This window comes from Homo sapiens, chromosome 5, assembly GCF_000001405.40.
Source record: "Homo sapiens chromosome 5, GRCh38.p14 Primary Assembly".
Lineage (NCBI taxonomy): Eukaryota > Metazoa > Chordata > Mammalia > Primates > Hominidae > Homo > Homo sapiens.
The window spans coordinates 129438044-129456232 of record NC_000005.10 but is presented as its reverse complement, the minus strand read 5'-3'; the positions used below and the strand labels follow the sequence as shown (position 1 = coordinate 129456232).

The following is an 18189-nucleotide window of genomic DNA, read 5'->3' as shown; positions in this document are numbered from 1 at the left end:
CTCCATCAAGTTCAAGACACTTTTGTAAGCCATGATACTAGCCTCTTACCCCATCCCTGAAGAACTGAAAGCTGTGGGGTATTTACCCATGTCAATGCAGTCTTTTTTACATTATTAACTGAAGGAAATTGAATGCCTTTTGAAGATTAAGGTTAGAAAATAAAGTCAGAAGAAGCCAAATCAGGACTTGTAAGGTGGATACCTAATGATTTCTCATCAAAACTCTCACAAAATTGCCCTTGTTTGATGAGAGGACTGAGCAGGAGCATTGTCATTTGGAGAAGGACTCTGGTGAAGCTTTCCCAGAGATTTTCTGCTAAAGCTTTAGCTAGCTTTCTCAAAGTACCCTTATAATAAGCAGATGTTATTATTCTTTGGCCCTCCAGAAAGTCAACAAGCAAAATTCCTTGAGCATCTCAAAAACTGTTGCCATGACCTTTGCTCTTAATTGGTCTGCTTTTGCTTTGAATGGACCACTTCCCCCTCTTGGTAGCCATTGCTTTGATTGTGCTTTGTCTTCAGGATTTTACTGGGGAAGCCACATTCCATTTCCTTTTGCAATTCATCAAAGAAATGCTTCAGTGTTTTGGTACCACTGATTTAAAATTTCCATTGAAAGCCCTGCTATTGTTTGTAGCTGAGCTGGGTGCAATGGTTTTGGCAGCCATCAGGTGGAAAGTTTGATCAATTTTAATTTGTTTGGTCAGGATAATGTAAATTGAACCAATTGAGATGTCTCTAATATTCGCTATGACAAAGAGAGGAAGGGAGAATTCTGGATGTTTTCTGGAAGAACTTTGAATTAATTGTCTATGTTCTGATTTCTACATGTATGTGAAGAAACCACCTACAGCATAGGGTGAGTGGTGGGACGGGGAGGCATAAAGCGTTAAAGGCCAAAGAATACTCCAAATGTGATGAGTTCCAACTGGCTAGAGTGGAAGGTCATCATAATACAAGGGGTACTAGATAATGTTCTTAGAAAAGCATCTGCTTAGTAATAAAATTAAATTAGCCTTGTAATTAAGGTTTCATGTGGGCCTATCTCAACAAGGCTTAAAAGATAGCTGCAAAATGGTTCATCTGTTTCCTAGTAATTTAATTTCCTGCTAGAACAAGGTCCATTTTACTTAATAATTATTATTATATATATAGATATATACTTTTTCATTTAGACAGGGTCTCACTTCATTGCCCAGGCTGGAGTGCAGTGGCTCAATCATGGCTCACTGCAATCTTGACCTCCTGGGCTTAAGCAGTCCCTTCACCTCAGCATCCTGAGTAGCTGGGACTACAGGCATACACCACCATGCCTGATTAATTTTTGTATTTTTGGTAGAGATGGAGTTTTGCCATGTTGCCCAGGTCGGTCTCAAACTCCTGGACTCAAGCAATCCACCTGTCTCAGCCTCCCAAAGGGCTAGGGTACAGGCATGCGACACCGCACTTGGCTAGGAATAATAATATTTTAAAACAACAACAACAACAATGTAAAGTTTTCATTCTCTGGAAATCCAATTATAAATTCCAAGCATGGGAAAAAAATGACTCATAACAAGGAGAAAAGTCACTTAGTAAAAACAGATCCAGACATGACAGAAGTAATAAAATAAGCCAACAAAAACATTAAACAGCTATTACAGATATGCTGTAAATGTATATGAAGATAGAGGAAAGCATGAACCTGATCAAGAGTGACATAAAAAGACCCAATTTGAAATTATAGAGATGGAAAATACAATATTTTACATGAAAAATGTACTGGGTGGTATTGACAGCAGATTAGATACTGCCAAAAAAAGTATCTGTGAACTTGAAGACATAGCAAAAGAAACTAACTATCCAAAGTGAAGCACAGAAAGAAAAAGATAAGAGTTGACTTGAGTGTTGGTGAACTGTGGGATAATAACGAGATATCTAATATATAAGTACTTGGAGTTTTAGAAGAAGAGGAGAAATGGAAATGGGAAGAGAAACTATTTGAAAAAATAATGGCTGAAAATTTTCCAAATTTGATGAAAACTATAATGTATACATGCAAGCATAACATACTTAATAAAACTTTGCCAAGGCATATCTTAAGCAAATTGCTAAAAACAGAAAGGAAATAGAAAATGTGAAAAGCAGCCAGAGGAAAAAGACAGATTATCTATAGAAACAAAGTTAAGAATGACAGCAAACTTCTCCTCAAAACTTATGCAAACAAGAAGACATATACAGTCATGTACCTCATATAAGCATATTTTAGTCAACAGCAGAACACATATATGACAGTGGTCCCATAATATTATATCATATTTTTAATTCACCTTTCTCTGTAGGTATGTTTAGATAAACAAATACTTAGGATTATTTTACAATTGCCTACAGCGTTTAGTATAGTAATATGCTGTACAGGTTTATAGCAAAGGAGATATAGGCTATACCATACAGCCTAAGTGTGTCATAGAATACATCATGTAGGTTTGTATAAGAACACTCTATGATGTTTAAACAGCAATTAAATTACCTAATGATGCATTTCTCAAAATGTATCCTCTGCTGGGTGCCATGACTCATCCCTGTAATCCCAGCAATTTGAGAGGCCAAGATGGGTGGATCACCTGAGGTCAGGAGTTCAAGACCAGCCTGGCCAACATGGTGAAACCACGTCTCTACTAAAAATATAAAAAATTAGCCAGACATGGTGGCGGGTGCCTGTAATTCCAGCTACTTGGGAGGTGGAGGCAGGAGAATCGCTTGAACCTAGGAGGCAGAGCTTTCGGTGAGCTGACATCACGCCATTGCACTCCAGCCTGGACAACAAGAGCCAAACTTCATTTCAAAAAATAAATAAATAAAAATGTAATTTTTCATCAATAAGTGTTGCATGACTGTATGTAGATATTCTCAATAAAATCCTTTAACAGATACATAGTTTGTAAATATTTTGTCCTAGTTTGTAGCTTGCCCTTTATTTACTAAATGATATCTTAAAGAGCAAAAGTTTTTAATTTTGATGAAGTCCAATTTATTAATTTGTCCTTTATAGAATGTCTTTCTGGTTTTCTAAGAAGTGTTTCCTAAGCCAAGATCAAATCCTTTTCTCCTACTTTTTTTCTAGATCTAAAATTTTTACTCTTAATTTTAGGACTATTATCCATTTTGACCTAATTTTGATAAATGAGGTAGGATAAGCATCAAGGTTCATATTTTTGTATATAGATAGCCAACATTATTAGTAACTAGGACAATGCACGTTAAGTGCAAATTGAACCCACAAGGAGACAACACTACACACCTATTAGAGTGAATAAAAATTATCTACATTACCAAATGTTTGCAAGGGTGTGGAACACCTGAAACTCTCATGCATTGTTCATGTGAAAGCATTAGCATAGACACTTTGGAAAACAGTTTGACAGATTCTTATGATTCTTAAATATACATTTACCCAACAACTCACCAACACAATTCCTAGATATTTACCCAAGAAAAATTAATGTAGGTATACACAAGACTTTCATGTGAATTTTATGTCAGCTTTATTTATAATGGCCCCAAACTAAAAACCTATATGTCAATCAACTGATGAATAGATAGACAAATTGTAGTAGATTGCAGAACATAAGTCAGCAATGAAAAGAAAAGAACCATTGATGCATGCAAAAATGGATGAATTGCAAAAGCATTATTCTAAGTGAAAGAAGCTTCCCTTTATATGAAAGTGGAGAAAAGATAATACTGAAGTAATTAAAGCAGTTCAGTCCCAGGAGCTAGGGATGGTCTTGGGGGCAAAGAGGGAAAAGGGCTATGAGGGAACTATTTTAGGTGATAAAAATCTTCTTTATCACAATTAAGGTACTCATTACACAACTGTATATATTTTTCACAAATCATTCAAATAGTACACTTCACAATGGTTAAATGTTTTGTATATAAATTATATCTCGATGACTCTATTTACAGAAAGACTTAAGCTAAATATGTGACACTCTCAGTGTTTCATTTTTAGCCATTAGTGACTAAATGTTAAGGGAATAGGGACCTTCCTCAAGATTCCACAGGTAAGTGAGAGTCACTATCATCCACCCAAATGCTCGAACCATGAACCTAAGAAGCCGTCCTTGACTCATGCTTTTTTTTTTTTTTTTTTTTTTTTTGAGACGGAGTCTCACTCTGTTGCTTAGGCTGGAGTACAGTGGCGCAATCTTGGCTCACTGCAACCTCCACCTCCTGGGTTCAAGCAATTCTCTGCCTCAGCCTCCTGCGTAGCTGGGATTACAGGTGCCCACCACCACACCAGGCTAATTTTTGTATTTTTAGTAAAGATGGGGTTTCACCATCTTGGCCGGGCTTGTCTTAAACTCCTGACCTCAGGTGATCCACCTGCTTTGGCCTCCCAAAGTGCTGGGATTACAGGCGTGAGCCACTGCACCCGGCCAACTCATGCATCTTTTTATCACTCACATCCAACCAGTCAAGTCATGGGTTTTTTTTTTTTTTTTTTTTTTTTAAGTTCTGGGATTCATGTGTGGAATGTGTAGGTTTGTTACTTAGGTTTACGTGTGCCATTGTGGTTTGCTGCACCTATCAACCCATCATCTAGGGTTTAAGCTCCGCATGCATTAGATATTTTTCCTAATGCTCTCCCCTTGCCCCCCAACCCACAACTGGCCCGATGTGAATTGTTCCCCTCCCTGTGTCCGTGTGTTCTCTTTTTCTTTTCTTTAGCTCCTAAATTCCTCACCTCTCTCTAGTGCTTCTAGCACTAAGCTGATGCAGTCATCTTTCCGTGGTACCACTGCAACACTTTGTTAACCTTTCTCCTGCTTCCACTTTGCTCTACCACATTCCAATCTTTACTCTGTGGCCACAGTGATCATTTAAAATGAAAATAATATCCTCTGATTAAAATCCTCCAGTCATTCTCTAGTTACTCTCAGGACAAAATTCAAACTCCTTAACAAAATCTAAAGGCCCTGCGTGATCCCAGTCCTTTCGTATTTTCAGTCCCATCACATTCTATTCTTCCCTTTTGGATTTTTCTAAATTCTTATAGCATACTATAGTTTTTCCTGTCTCTGTGTATACATTACCATTTCCTCTAATGGAAACATGTCCCTTCTCATCCTGTAGATTAACAATGACAACTCCTCCTTATTCTTCACATACCTTTCTTCTTCGCAAGCATCAGAAGTACCAAGTTAGGTCTCATTGCTGCTTTATGTCATTATAGCACGTGGTGTTTCTATTCAGTCTTCACTGATATAGCATCTATTTATATTAGGCTGGTGCAAATGGCACCAAATGGCAAAAACTGCAATTACATTTGCACCAACCTAATAATTGTCATTTCAATATATGACTTTGTCCTACCCCCTCACCATCCCAAAATTCTGCTCCCTAGATGCAATCACTGTTTTGTGCCTTCCAGACTATTATGAAAGAAAAATGTATTGACGAGTGTCAGCATAATAATATATGACACACAAAATTAAAAGATAGAAATATATATAGGCTTCCCTCTCTTTTGCCTTCTAATGGACATGTTAAATCCCCCCTGCTCAGCACCTGGGCCAAGTAATGGGTGAAAAGAATGAAAGCTGGTCTTTCAAATCCTATTAGTATGAAGAGCAATATTTTTAAATGAAAATAAAAAAACTGGGAAGGAAGGAAAAAGAACAAGAAAGAAAATAGTCTGTGAAAACTGAGTTTTGAGAGTTTTATTGAAATTTTCGAGAAAGTAATACAAAATGTTGTAGGGGCAACCTCTATGCAGTGATAAAAGGGCTTTGGAAAAAGTGATAAATAAAAGAGATTATTACAAAGTTTTGTTATGAGTTATGCATATATGCATTTAAGGCATATGAAATTTATTTCTATTCTTATTGGGACAGGAGGAGGCATGTGGGACTTGTGTTTTATTTCTGAGCGTAGCACATGGCTGTCTCAGGTTTGTTTGGGTTACATATAAAACTCAATATAGGAATTTGTTCTGCCTAAATAGGTATTTAAGATCCTCTCAATAGTAAAAGAGGTCAAGATTAAAAATCTAAAAATGAGAATCCCCAACCTTCAAAACAATAAAGTATGTTATTCTCAAAGCAGTAAAGTATGTTATAATAAAGTTCTCTGGCTTTATGAAAATATAAGGCCATATTTTAGGCCTTTCCACATACCACTTAGATCTTATATACAGGAATTTCATTGCTACTGAAAGTTTCACTCATAATTTACACAGAACCGTTGAGACTCCAATTCCAAGATTAAGAAATACTGATCCAGGGCCAAGAGCTCCCTGCTTGGACTTTTCCATTGCATTCCTTTGAGCTGCATCCCACTGAGTACCAATGATCATCACTATAATGATCATTACCTGAAGACTTAAAATCACTGTGTCTGACACAAATCTTAAGCTTCTTGCATTATACAATGTGATACCTTTCTCCCAGTTAGCAAGATGCTTAATTCCAACACTATTTGTAGTGTCAAGTCTTAGAAGGAATGCCCTCATTTGCTAAATAATCAATAAATGTTTATTGGATAATTGAATGACTGAAACTAAAGACAATGCCATCCATATCCATGTCACTGTTTTCCCAGAGGTAAGAGGTTGACTCACATGAGACTGATATAGGCCTTTTTTGTTTACAGTTCTATGATTATTTCAGGTATTCAAAATGTGTATGTGTGTGTGTAAGAGACAGAGAAAGAAACAGAGACAGAGAGAGACAGAAGGGTGAGTAAAAATGGTTATCAGAATTATTCTTAGACAAAAAGGGGTCCATTGGCAAAGAAAAAAAGTTTGAACAGTACTCCCTTTATTTGTTGACTAGAGATGGGAAGGTAACCATTAGCATGAAATGAAAATAGAATTTAAAGTCGATAGGATATTGTGACATTTGATTTGTTAAGGTTTTGGCTGACCACTATTTGACCTCTTTTCTCATTATGTGAATCCCACAGATGAGAATTATGGGAATCCCCTTCCCATGTTATGTATTATAGGAATCCCACAGGTAAGAATTGTGCTGGTTTGGGGTGGTAAATGGGGATTGATTTCCACTAGAGTATTATAATAGTCTAGGTTTTCATTCTCATTATCTACTGGGGTACAGGTTTATGACCTCAGCTAATAGAATGTCCATAGGTGGCAAATCTGAAACAAGTAACACAAAGGTAAGAGCACTTTAGATTTCCTCTCAACAGAATTGTCCAGGGATTGTGGTGGTGATGGTGCCAGTAGTTTGTTTAGTATCCTGAGACAATGCACCAGCATCTTCACCAGCTGTTCCAGCGGCAGGGGCTTGGCTATAATGACAGCTTCCTGTGGTTTCTCCTTGTTTCACAGCTTGGTTTTTTTTAGCCTTCCATCAATTCTTTAATCTACACAATGACGTCATTCCATTAAACTGTTTTTTGCCAAGGTGAGCCGGAATCCAGTTCTGTTGCTACAAGTAAGAACCATGACTTAGACAAGTTAGTATCGGGGAGCAGGTTGCAGTCAAAGGGACCACAGAAAAATCCAGGGAGTTGTATGTAGTTAGAGTTGGAGGCCAAGAATATTGTTTATATTTATTACTGAGAATCTGTCAGTCCATGACACATCATGACAAAGATTTTCTTTAAATTATTGTCTGCGATCTCCTGGAATTAAATAATGCACTGAAAGCAGAATTATCTGCAACCATATATTTGCCATATAGAATATAAGAATTTTGGGGTCGGGTATCTACTTCTAATGGCCTTACAAAAGGCCAATGAGAGGCCCAAATTTCAAAGTTATCAGCTTAAAGCGCGTGCTGAAACTCACGGGCTTTCTATGAGTGGACTAAATAATCTCTAACTTCCATTCAGTTCAGAACTTCCTTGGTGTATTGGTGAAGAAAAAAATCAAAGGCCAGGAGATTGCGATGCTAGAGAGCATTGATCATATGAAATTTATGACTCTCAAGAAGGTCTAGAAACTACTCCTTTCTCCAAGGCCTTGAGAAATGACAGGAGTTGATGAGAGGCTTATCAGCATATTTAAAAATACACTAGTGGCTCCTCTTTGAGGCTGCCAGTGCTGATATGGGATGCAGTTGAAATGGTCTCCCTGACTCCAATGTGGCAATTAAAATCCTGGGTGACATAGCGGCACTTAATCTCAGAGGCAAAGTAGATTTGTTACTGGCAAGATAATCCAAATGGCCTGACCCACAGAGATTTGGGTGGTTGCTAATATATCATAGGCTTGTTAGAGGCAAAATGAACAGGCAGCTTCCTAGAGCCACCTATTTTTTCTGGGTTAAAAAAACATAAAAACAAAACAGAACAAGAAAACAAAAATATCCTCTAGGTCTGACCACCCATTATAAGAGAAGATAATCGTTTTATTACTGAATTCTCAAGCCTGGCTCAGTCAGATAGTCCACAGGCCCTTGAATGAAGGAAAACCTGGACGGCCCTGAGAAGACCTGATGATAATATTGTAAGTGAACCCTCCTCCTTGCCTGACAGAAGAGAACCTGGTACTACTAAGATCACTTTGCTTTGAGGAGTAGACTACTGCTCAGATCTTTTAGGCCTTATTGTTGCTTACTAGCTCCGAGCACACTAATACCTGAAGACTCAATATCCGTGGCAATTTACATGCTTGGGTGGGGACTTCTGAAAGTCAAAAATGTATTTTGATCTGAGTCTGATATGATAGGCCTAATGAAATCCTGAATCTATACTGTATTCATGATAGTAACAAATATAATCCTCAATATAGCTGAAACACAACAAAAATATATTTTCTGCATTCATTAGGCAATGGTAACAAACAATATAAAGTGGTTCAAACATCATAGAAATTTATTTCACAATTTTGTAACAAACCAGGCAATGTTCCTTATGCTTTAGGAACCAAGCTCCTTTCTTCTTAGGGTTTACTCATCTCCTATAATCTTGTTGTCTGCACCCAGCCTGTGGAAGGGGAAGGCACAAAAGGAAGTAGACCTGTTTTCAAAATACCTTAAAGTGGCACACATAATGGCGGCTCACATTCTTTTGGCAAAATCTGATTACATGGGAGGGTAGGAAATATAAACTAACATGTTCTCAAGGAGAAACGGGAAATGTATTTTGGTAAAAATGTTGCAATCTCTGTCACAATGCTATGTTTTTTCTCCAGTTGCTGAATGCGTACTATGAATAGAAATACTATGGAATTGGAAGATCAGGAGTTTTCCTGACATATAAGGTAAGAACTATTGTGATCAGACACCAAATGTAAACCATTAGAACTCCTTCTCCAAACCAAAATAATAAATCAAAGCAACCCTGAATTACTGAGGAAACCGCAGTGATTAGTGCCTCTGTAAAAGGCTTCAAAGATGCAAGAGTGTTGCCTTTTTTTTTCCACATTCCTACTTAACTCACCTGTGCAGATGACAGATGGCCCTGGAGAATAATAATGGAATGTTGTAAATGTAATCAAAGTTAATTGCTATTCTAGATGTGATTTTTTTTTTTACTTGGGCAAACAAGTATAGCCTCCAATAATTAATACGCAGCTATGGATTTGGGAATTTTTTCTCTTAAACTCTAAAAATCTACAGCAATAGAAACAATTCTGTTTATGGATTTCTCTGAAATTTGCTGTCTTCAACAAACCACTAGTGCGTTGTTGCAATGCTACAGCCGTGTCCAGGATAGTCCTGAAGATCCCCCACGGAATATCAAATCTACACCTTTTTTGTCCACCTGGCTGGAAAGAGGGTTGGTATGAAATAAGTTTCTATACTGATTAATGAACAGCGGTTTATGGTTTCCCAAGGTTGTAAGAAATTAAGAAGGAACCCAATCAAAGGATGCTGAGAAAGAAACCCACATAAGCATTATGCACCTGAACTTTGAAGTGGCCCTAGAGTAGAAGACATTTGTGCCCCATATGCATACTCCTTAAAAGTCCACTCAATAAGTGGACTAAATAATCTCTAACTTCCATTCATTCTAACTTCCCTCTGTTAAAGAGGTGCTCATTCTTAGGTTACAGAGGACAGTACTCTTTGAGGACATCTGCCAGCCTCTTTCTTCACTTATTTGTCTTTGATCAATGAGAGTGCGAGCAAATATCATGGGTGACAATGTATGGAAGCTATTCGTAAACTCTCAAATGTCAGCTTTCCTTACTAAAGTTTACACAGTCTCTATTATGGTGGATTCCCTAATATGCAAGTGACACAAATGTTACATTATCAGGGAATATTTGAATAATCTTTGGTTGGGAAAGCCTTCTGAAATAATATAGAAAAACTAAAAGTCATTAAAAAATATACTTCATTTTAAAAATGTGTGTATTATAACATATCACACTTGAAAAGTAAGAAAAACACATAAAACAAAGTATTAATATCTTTAATGTAAAAAGAGCTCTTATAAATTAGTTTTGAAAGAGCAGTAGTCAAAAAGGAAAGTGGGTAAAGGATAGAATAAGCCATTGAGGGAACAGGAAATGCATACATGAAATAATCACATGAAAAGTTTCCCAACTTCACCATGGAGAATAATATGGATTATAGCCAAAACATCTTGATTTGATTTTTTTTTCACCCATTGAAATAAAATGAATACAGGAGTCAGTGGAAATGAGGATGTGAGAGGTGGGAGTAGTCATACCTTGCTTCTGCAAGTGCGTGCTGAACCCCCTTGGGAAACGGAACTGGCCATCTTTAAAAAAATTAAATGACACATGCTGCTGATTCAGAAGTATTACCTGAAGAAACCCATCTTAGAGATACATAAGTCAGGGCACATAGGGATATTGTACAAGGATGTTTATTGCTCATTGTTCATAGTGGCATGAAACTAGAGGAAAACCACAATATTTGTCAGTAGGTGAATGAATAATTTATGGCTCACCTTATTATGAAAAATTCTCGATTACTTTTTAATAATGGACATTTTCTACTGATATGGAAAGGAGTATAAATTATATCACAATATTTTAATGAATTCACAATGCAGTACACATAGTATTTCCTTTGAGATGTGTGTGTATATGCTTGTATGAGTATGTAGAAAGGAATTGGGGAATAGACAACAAACTGTTGAAACACCTGAAAAGATGGGAATGTATGTTGGGCATCAAAGGGAGCTTGAGGGAGAGGAAAGCTTTTTAAATAATATTTTCTATCGTGTCATTTAATTCTCTATAACTTAAAAAAATCTAAAGAATTTTTAAAGGATAAAATCACAAAAGTGCTCAATGCATCTCTGTTTTTCTTTACTTTTACATAATCGACTCATTAATGTTTATTGAGTGAAAGTGCAAAGAGAAACTCAGTCATTCTAGAACAATTTCCTTGTAAGAGAAGACTTTAAATAATACCACAAATTGTTCAGGAAAAGCTCTTATTTTTTTCTACTATGATTTGGCTGTTAATTATTTGGGCATGTGTTTTAAACCTATGACTGATGATGCCCTTGAGGATTTTTTTTCAGCTTGGGAGACATTTGTTTTAAATTTTTACAATTTAACAAAAATATACTTGATCCATAGAAGAAACTACCCTGGCTGGAATACCTCTTACTACATTAAGGTCACATATGACTATTTAAATTAGAACCAGAAACGTGTGCTTTCCTATTTCTGGAAAGCCTTTCAAATGTTATCTCAGGATAAATAAGCTCATAAAAATTGAAGATAGATTATAAGCTGGATTTTCATCCTAGAAGCATACTTATATGTGCTAGATCTTGGTTTTTGTTTAAATGGCTTTGTGATGGTATAGTTCTCTTCTATGAAGGTAACAATGTATTTCTGTTTATCTAAACAGTAATTAACATCAAACTCATGATTTCCAAATGTTCAATGTCTAATTCTACTCTATATTTATGTGCTTAAATAAAAGATTTGTTTAAAATTATAAATATACATGTGTATGTTTGAGATTACTTCAAACAAAGACTTTAAAAATAACGTCTTAAGGCAAACTCACTTTAGAACAAAATCCACTTCAAATACAATACAGAAAACTTGTTAGGTGAAACAAAGATATCAACGACTGTGAACAAATAGTGTTGTTAACGGGTCTTATTTCCTTCTTTTCTTCTTTTTTGTTTTCCAACTATTATAAAATAGAACCCCTTTACTGACAATGAGATAGGATAATTTTAGTAATTAGTATATTTCATTATTTACCAATGTTTATGAATTTAATGTCAAATTCTTTCTGCAAAAAGTTGTCACGGAGTTTGAGCGATACCGCCTTAAACAATTGTAAAGGACTTTACATGTTATAAATTAGCTCATGAATTATTTAATGTAAACTAGCTATGAGAAACCTGAAAAAAATATACAGTAGGGTATTTATTTTATATAAGATGTTTTACAAGAATAAAGGGGAGGAAATGAAGAGAAAAGAAAGACAAATTTATAGACGGACCTAAGCCCCAAAGCCTAACATTAACTGGTATAGTTTATTCAACTTTCCTTGGCTGTCTAAGTTCTATATTATAGCGTCCCAGGGCAGGGGCTGTGCCTGCTCACTGTCAGCACTTAACAAATTACAAAGAGTATTATTAACAGCAGTACCTGTGGGCAAAACTTGCATGATTATTGTATTTTAACAGCACTATTCCACAGAACATTAATTGAATTGTCATCCAAGTTTTTCTTGATCTTGTCTTATGTGCACTCTGCTGAGTAGAAATGCTTAAACTGATCATTTATACTTTCCAAAATACAGCTTAATGAGAAAGCGATTTAGTAAATTTCTGGAGGCTGTTTTATATCACGTAGAGTATTGTGTTCTCACAGAACAACTTAATTTAACAGAATTCTCCAGGAAGTTTACCTTCGGCTGTAATAGAAAATTATTGCTGCCTGAAAGGTTGCATACTTCCGTGATATGCAGAAATTTATAGAATAAGTAACATTCTTAGTTTCAGACACAAAGGCCTTTCCCGTCTTTGCACCCCAACATGTCTACTCAAAATTGGGCTATATGAAGAAATTAATTCAGCTATTTTGATTAAATTTAATGAAGTTAAAAGGTACATTTTCATATTACACACACAAACACATACACATGTCTTAAACACAACTGAGTCAGTAAAATAACTTTATGGTGGATTTTCTTGTTTTTATTAATTTTATTACTCAAGCAATCCAAACGAGATACTAGTAAGTTAAAAACACTTGATAGGTCAAATCAGTCTGAACTTTCATATTGGTAGAAGTATGAAGTGCTAAATAACTAAATTTCATTTTTAGAGATCTGAAAATTGAAGTTCATAGAACACTTCATCTCTGTTACTGTGTTTTTTATTTCTAGTATTTACATTTGATTTGATTCTTTCCCCATAGTTTGCATCTCTCTGCTAAAATTACCCGTGTTTTCTTACATATTGTATAACTTTTCTATTAGGACCTTTAACATATTAATTATAGTTATTCTAAATTCCCTGTTGGTTATAGCATCTGGGTTACATCTGAGTCTTGTTCTGATAATTACTTTGTATCTTCAGGCTGTGTTTATTCTCAACTTGTCAAATGCCTTGTAATTTTGGTCGGAAGCCAGACATGTTCTATAGCAGAGCAGATTTTGAGGCAAGTGTATTTTATGCTTGGAGGTGAGCATACTTTTCCTTCCTCTACAGCTTTAGTGTGAAAGTTTGTAGTGATCTAGTCAAAAGTTGGGTTTGGGTTGAACTTTGATGTTGCTATGGTCATGCTCAGTGCTTAAAGGCTTTGTATGCCTTTAGTGATACCACATGTTTAGGTGTGGGCTAATTTATTGGAGAGTGCTTCTCAATGTCTGCTTCCTGATGAGAATCTGTCTCTTGCCACTCTCTCAGTTGTGTTCCACTGTGATTTTCACTCAATGTTTGTTACCTAGGTGGTGGGAAGCTGGGAAGGAAGGGTATTCTCTAATGTACTCGTTAAACCTTAGTCTTGGCAGTCTCTATGAGCTTGTGGAGTGTGGCCTTTGCAATCATTCTCATCCCTCTTCTAGCTGTAGTACTGGGACTAGCAAGTATTCCTGCCCCGCCTCCACGTAGAGCTTTTAATTTTATTTTTTAAATTCCCTTTTCCTAGTTGCAAGGGGTTTCTAGTGCCTTAAGGTGACAATTGTTCTTTCTGTTTCCCCTGAAGATTATGGCTTTTTTCTTTAAGGAAGATTGGTGAGATGGGTCTGTTTGGAATTTCTAAGAGGGGCAATTGTTCCTCTCCCCCAGGTGACTTTGCTAGGGAAGCTTTCTCAGGATTTCCCTTAATCTTCACCTTGAACACGTGCTGGGATTCAGGGAGGACAAGCTGCAGCTCCCAGAAGCTACACATTCTGATGCCAGCCATGTTTGGTCTTTGGCAATTTGTTAGAACATTTTCACTGCATCTTCTTATTACATTATATAGCATCTGGTTGTGTATGCGCCAGGTAAGCAAAGGCTTTTTTGCTCTTAAGTTGGTCATTTGGTCTTTTGCAGTATTTGGTGAGATCCTCTGCCAGTAGATTGATCACTCTGTATATCTTCAAACAGTGACGCTAGCTGAGACCCTGTATACAGGAAAGACAAACCCAAACTCTGAATGTCTATTCTTTTGATAACTAACTGCTAGCCTTTCCAAATTTGGTCAATAAGCCACCACCTGGTCAGTGGGCTCCTCAAGGAATGGTGCCAAAATGGGGATTCAATGTTGGTCTTCATTATTATCTGTTTGGACATTTGACATTGGCCTTAGGTAGGTCATCTAGTAGGAGCACATGCTGTTGGGCACAGAGATGGTCTCCACATCTGCCTTTCAGGCCACTTTGTGCATATGCCCATTGTGCCAGCACTGGAGTGACCAATGATATGGGCTGGCTGACACCACCAGCTGGATCCTTTTAAATTCATGCCTCTTTTATGGGGGATGTTCTGTCATGGGTGTTAACATATGATGTAACAATATTCACACTGTGCTGCTTCCATATGTCCATCCATATGCCTCTATCTCATACCTCCTGTAGCTTTCTTTCCAATCTTTTCCTTTCCTTTTTTTCCGTGTCAAACATCCAAAGCATTTTCCACTGCCAGTGAGTCTTCAGGCCTTTTTTTCTTTTTACACAGTGTAGATGACCAGACATATAATTTGAAGCTTTGTTAATTAACAAAGTTTTTCCTACCTATTGTCCCCACTGTCTCAGGGCACCCCTGCATTAGGCTGTAATTCAGCTACCATCCATTATGCACCCATACACTAAGTCAGCCCCCAAACAACCTTAGGCGTGATCTGAGGGAAAGCTGCTGGTACAACAGTGGTGGGTGCCAGGGGAATTGGGGCTACTTTTCATAAGCTTGTAGGATTTGTGGTGTTAACTTGACTAGGTTGAAGTTAAAATGAATAGGTTGAATTGTTTGTTTTCAATGTTTCAATAGGCACTGAGCCCATTCTGCTTCTGCTGAAAGGGAAACCCAGGTAGTTTTACTTTTGATTAGAATGATTAGACTGCCCCAGGTGTGTCTGTGAAGGTGTTTCCAGAGGAGATTGGTGCGTGTCAGTGGATTGAGTGAGGAAGATCCGCCCTCAATGTGGGCAGGCACCATCCAATTGGCTGGGGGACCAGATGGATTGGAGAGAGAGGAAGGGTGAGAATTTCTCGCACACTCTCTCCTAGAGCTTGGCAGTGCTTGTCTGTCCGTGGATGTCAGAGCTCTAGGTCTTCCACCTTTGTACTCTAGGACTCATACCAGCAGTTCCTAGGCTCTCCAGCCTTCAGCCTTGGACTGAGAATGTTACCACCAGCTTCCCTGATTCCCAGGCCTTCGGACTTGGTCTGAACCACACTACCGGCTTTCTTGGTTCTTCAGCTTCCAGATGGCCTATTGTGGGATTTCTCAGCCTCTGTAATTGTGTAAGTCAATTCCCCTAATAAGATCCTTTTCATAGATCTCTCACTGTATCCTATCGGTTCTGTCTCTCTGGAGAACACTGGTTAGAACAGATTGCTTTGGCTTCATATTGCTCAAGCTTGTTCCCAGATGTTGCACTTCAGAGTTATGATGAATTTTGCTGCAACTGCCCAACTTATAAGTGGGTGGGTCTGACAAGATCCAGCTCATGATGAGCTACTATGGCTGTGGGCTATTATTTACTTAATGTCCTATAGTCAGGTCCTCCATCTCTACCAGGAAGGACTTATATACCAGTGGTTGTTTCTGAAAATACATGTATAATTCTCATTGCAGATGGCACGTCCATGCCTACAGCCTCACAGGTCTTCACTAGTGTTCTCCCAAGGGGCTTTGCCACAAACTATACATAGCTTCTTTTTGCACCATGGATACCTCCAACACTATAGGGTCTGCTGGGTCATATGGCCTAAGCTTGAACCTGCTGTAGAAGCCTTTCCTTCTCTGAGCCTCATTCAAATTAAGCAGCCATTTGCATCACCTGGCATATGAGCTGGAGCTTTACCTCCAGGTGTGCTATTTGCAGCCTCTAAAGCTCCAAGGGGCCCACCAGGTGTTATGCTTCCTTCTTTGTGGTAGAACCTGCAAGAGTCAATTTATCTTTTTAACATGTTTAAAAGATGTCCTAGTATGCTCCTGATCAATGAACCCCTACAATTTTGCAAGTTTGTTAGGCATAGAGTTTATGTTCTGCTCTCTGGAGCTCACATGACTTACAAAAGATTCAGGAATACTGGTAACTTTTTGCTCGTCTGACCTGATCAACATGAATTATCACTGTAATAGATCAATGTGATGTTGTGGAGGATGTCCAGAAAAATTGAGACTTCTTTGTGATGTATTCTGACAGGGGGCTGGAGGGATAATACAGTTCTGGGGTAAAACTCTAAGTCCATATTGTTTATTTCATGTGAACACAAAGTGTTTATGATCTTTCTAATTGAAATAGAAAAGAACATATTTGCTCCTAGATTGTAGCTGAGAGGATCTGGAGCTGATAATCACGGCCTCTTCAAAAACTTCTGTGGGACAGAGGCTAGAAAACCTGTCCCATTGGCACAAATGGATGTGTCTCCCAGAAGTTCACTGTTTGTCAAGATTGCTCTCAGGCTGTAGCCAAGAGGGTGGAAGCTGAGCTTCAGGGCCCCTTAGGGATCTGCTGTGGAATGGAGGTTGGCATGCCTCTTATGGTGGCACAGATAGGTGAGTCCATCAGTTCTCTGGATGGGAGAGATTACTCGCAGCACAGAGCAGGTGAGTCTGATACCAGGCCCTTCAGGATCTGCTGTGAGACAGAGGCGGGGAAGCCTGCCTGGGGACTCAGTTGGGCAAATCTGGCAGATCTCTATACCTTCCTGATAGTTCCCAGACTGCAGCAACAGGGACTGGATCCAAGACAGGGCCATTTCAGGATGTGGGGTGAGATAGAGCAGCATATTGTCTTTGTGGCACAGAAGGGCAAATCTTTCTTGGGGTCCTTGTGTGAGTCGTACTAAGCTGGGACCACAGACAAAGGGGGCAAAAGTCAAGTTACACAGAAACTTTCAGGTCTGTTTCCAAGACTGAGGCATTAGTGTATGTGCTTTCTCCTGGACCCCTTGTGGATAGTGTTGGCAGCAGGCATAAGGCCAAACAGGGCATGGAATGGGGCCATTTTCAAGTCTGAACCCAGGAGCAGGATTAGTATGTCTGCCACCTGGATGCAGGTCTGCACTCTTTTTTGTTTTTGTGTTTTGAGATGAAGTCATTCTGTTGCCCAGGCTGGAGTGCAGTGGGACGATCTTGGTTCATTGCAACATCCACCTTGCAAGTTCAAGTGATTCTCCCGCCTCAGCAGCTAGGATTACAAGCATGTGCCACTATGCCTTTTTTTTTTTTTTTTTTTTTTTTATGGAGTAGAGACAGGATTTCACCACGCTGGCCAGGCTAGTCTAGAATTCCAGACTTCAAGTGATTCTCCCACCTCAGCCTTTCAAAGTGTTGGGATTTCAGGTGTGAACCACTGTGCCCAGCCAGGTCTCTACTCTTAAAATGACCCTCCTAGGTCTTGGGATCCACTGAGGTTTCATGATTTCTTACCTGAATCCCAGGCTCTCACAAAAGACTTGTTCATGCACCAAAGTAGACTTCTTATTGCTGTGGGGGTTATACAACCAAGTGACCTCCTATTCTGCCACCTTGCTCAAGAAGCCTGAAGTCTCCTTTTTTAAAAAAATAATAATACAGCTATATTCAATTTCTGCCTTGAGGTATATATTGTTTTCTTTTATATATATTTTT

At 38.1% G+C, this 18189-nt stretch overlaps 1 annotated feature.

Moving 5' to 3' along the window:
* Positions 6948 to 7514: an enhancer, noted in NCBI's record as "NANOG hESC enhancer chr5:128784412-128784978 (GRCh37/hg19 assembly coordinates)". NCBI's record gives its function as "activates a minimal SCP1, AML or CMV promoter by ChIP-STARR-seq in naive H9 embryonic stem cells {active_cell/tissue: H9 hESC(naive)}" and the evidence as "EXISTENCE:reporter gene assay evidence [ECO:0000049][PMID:30033119]".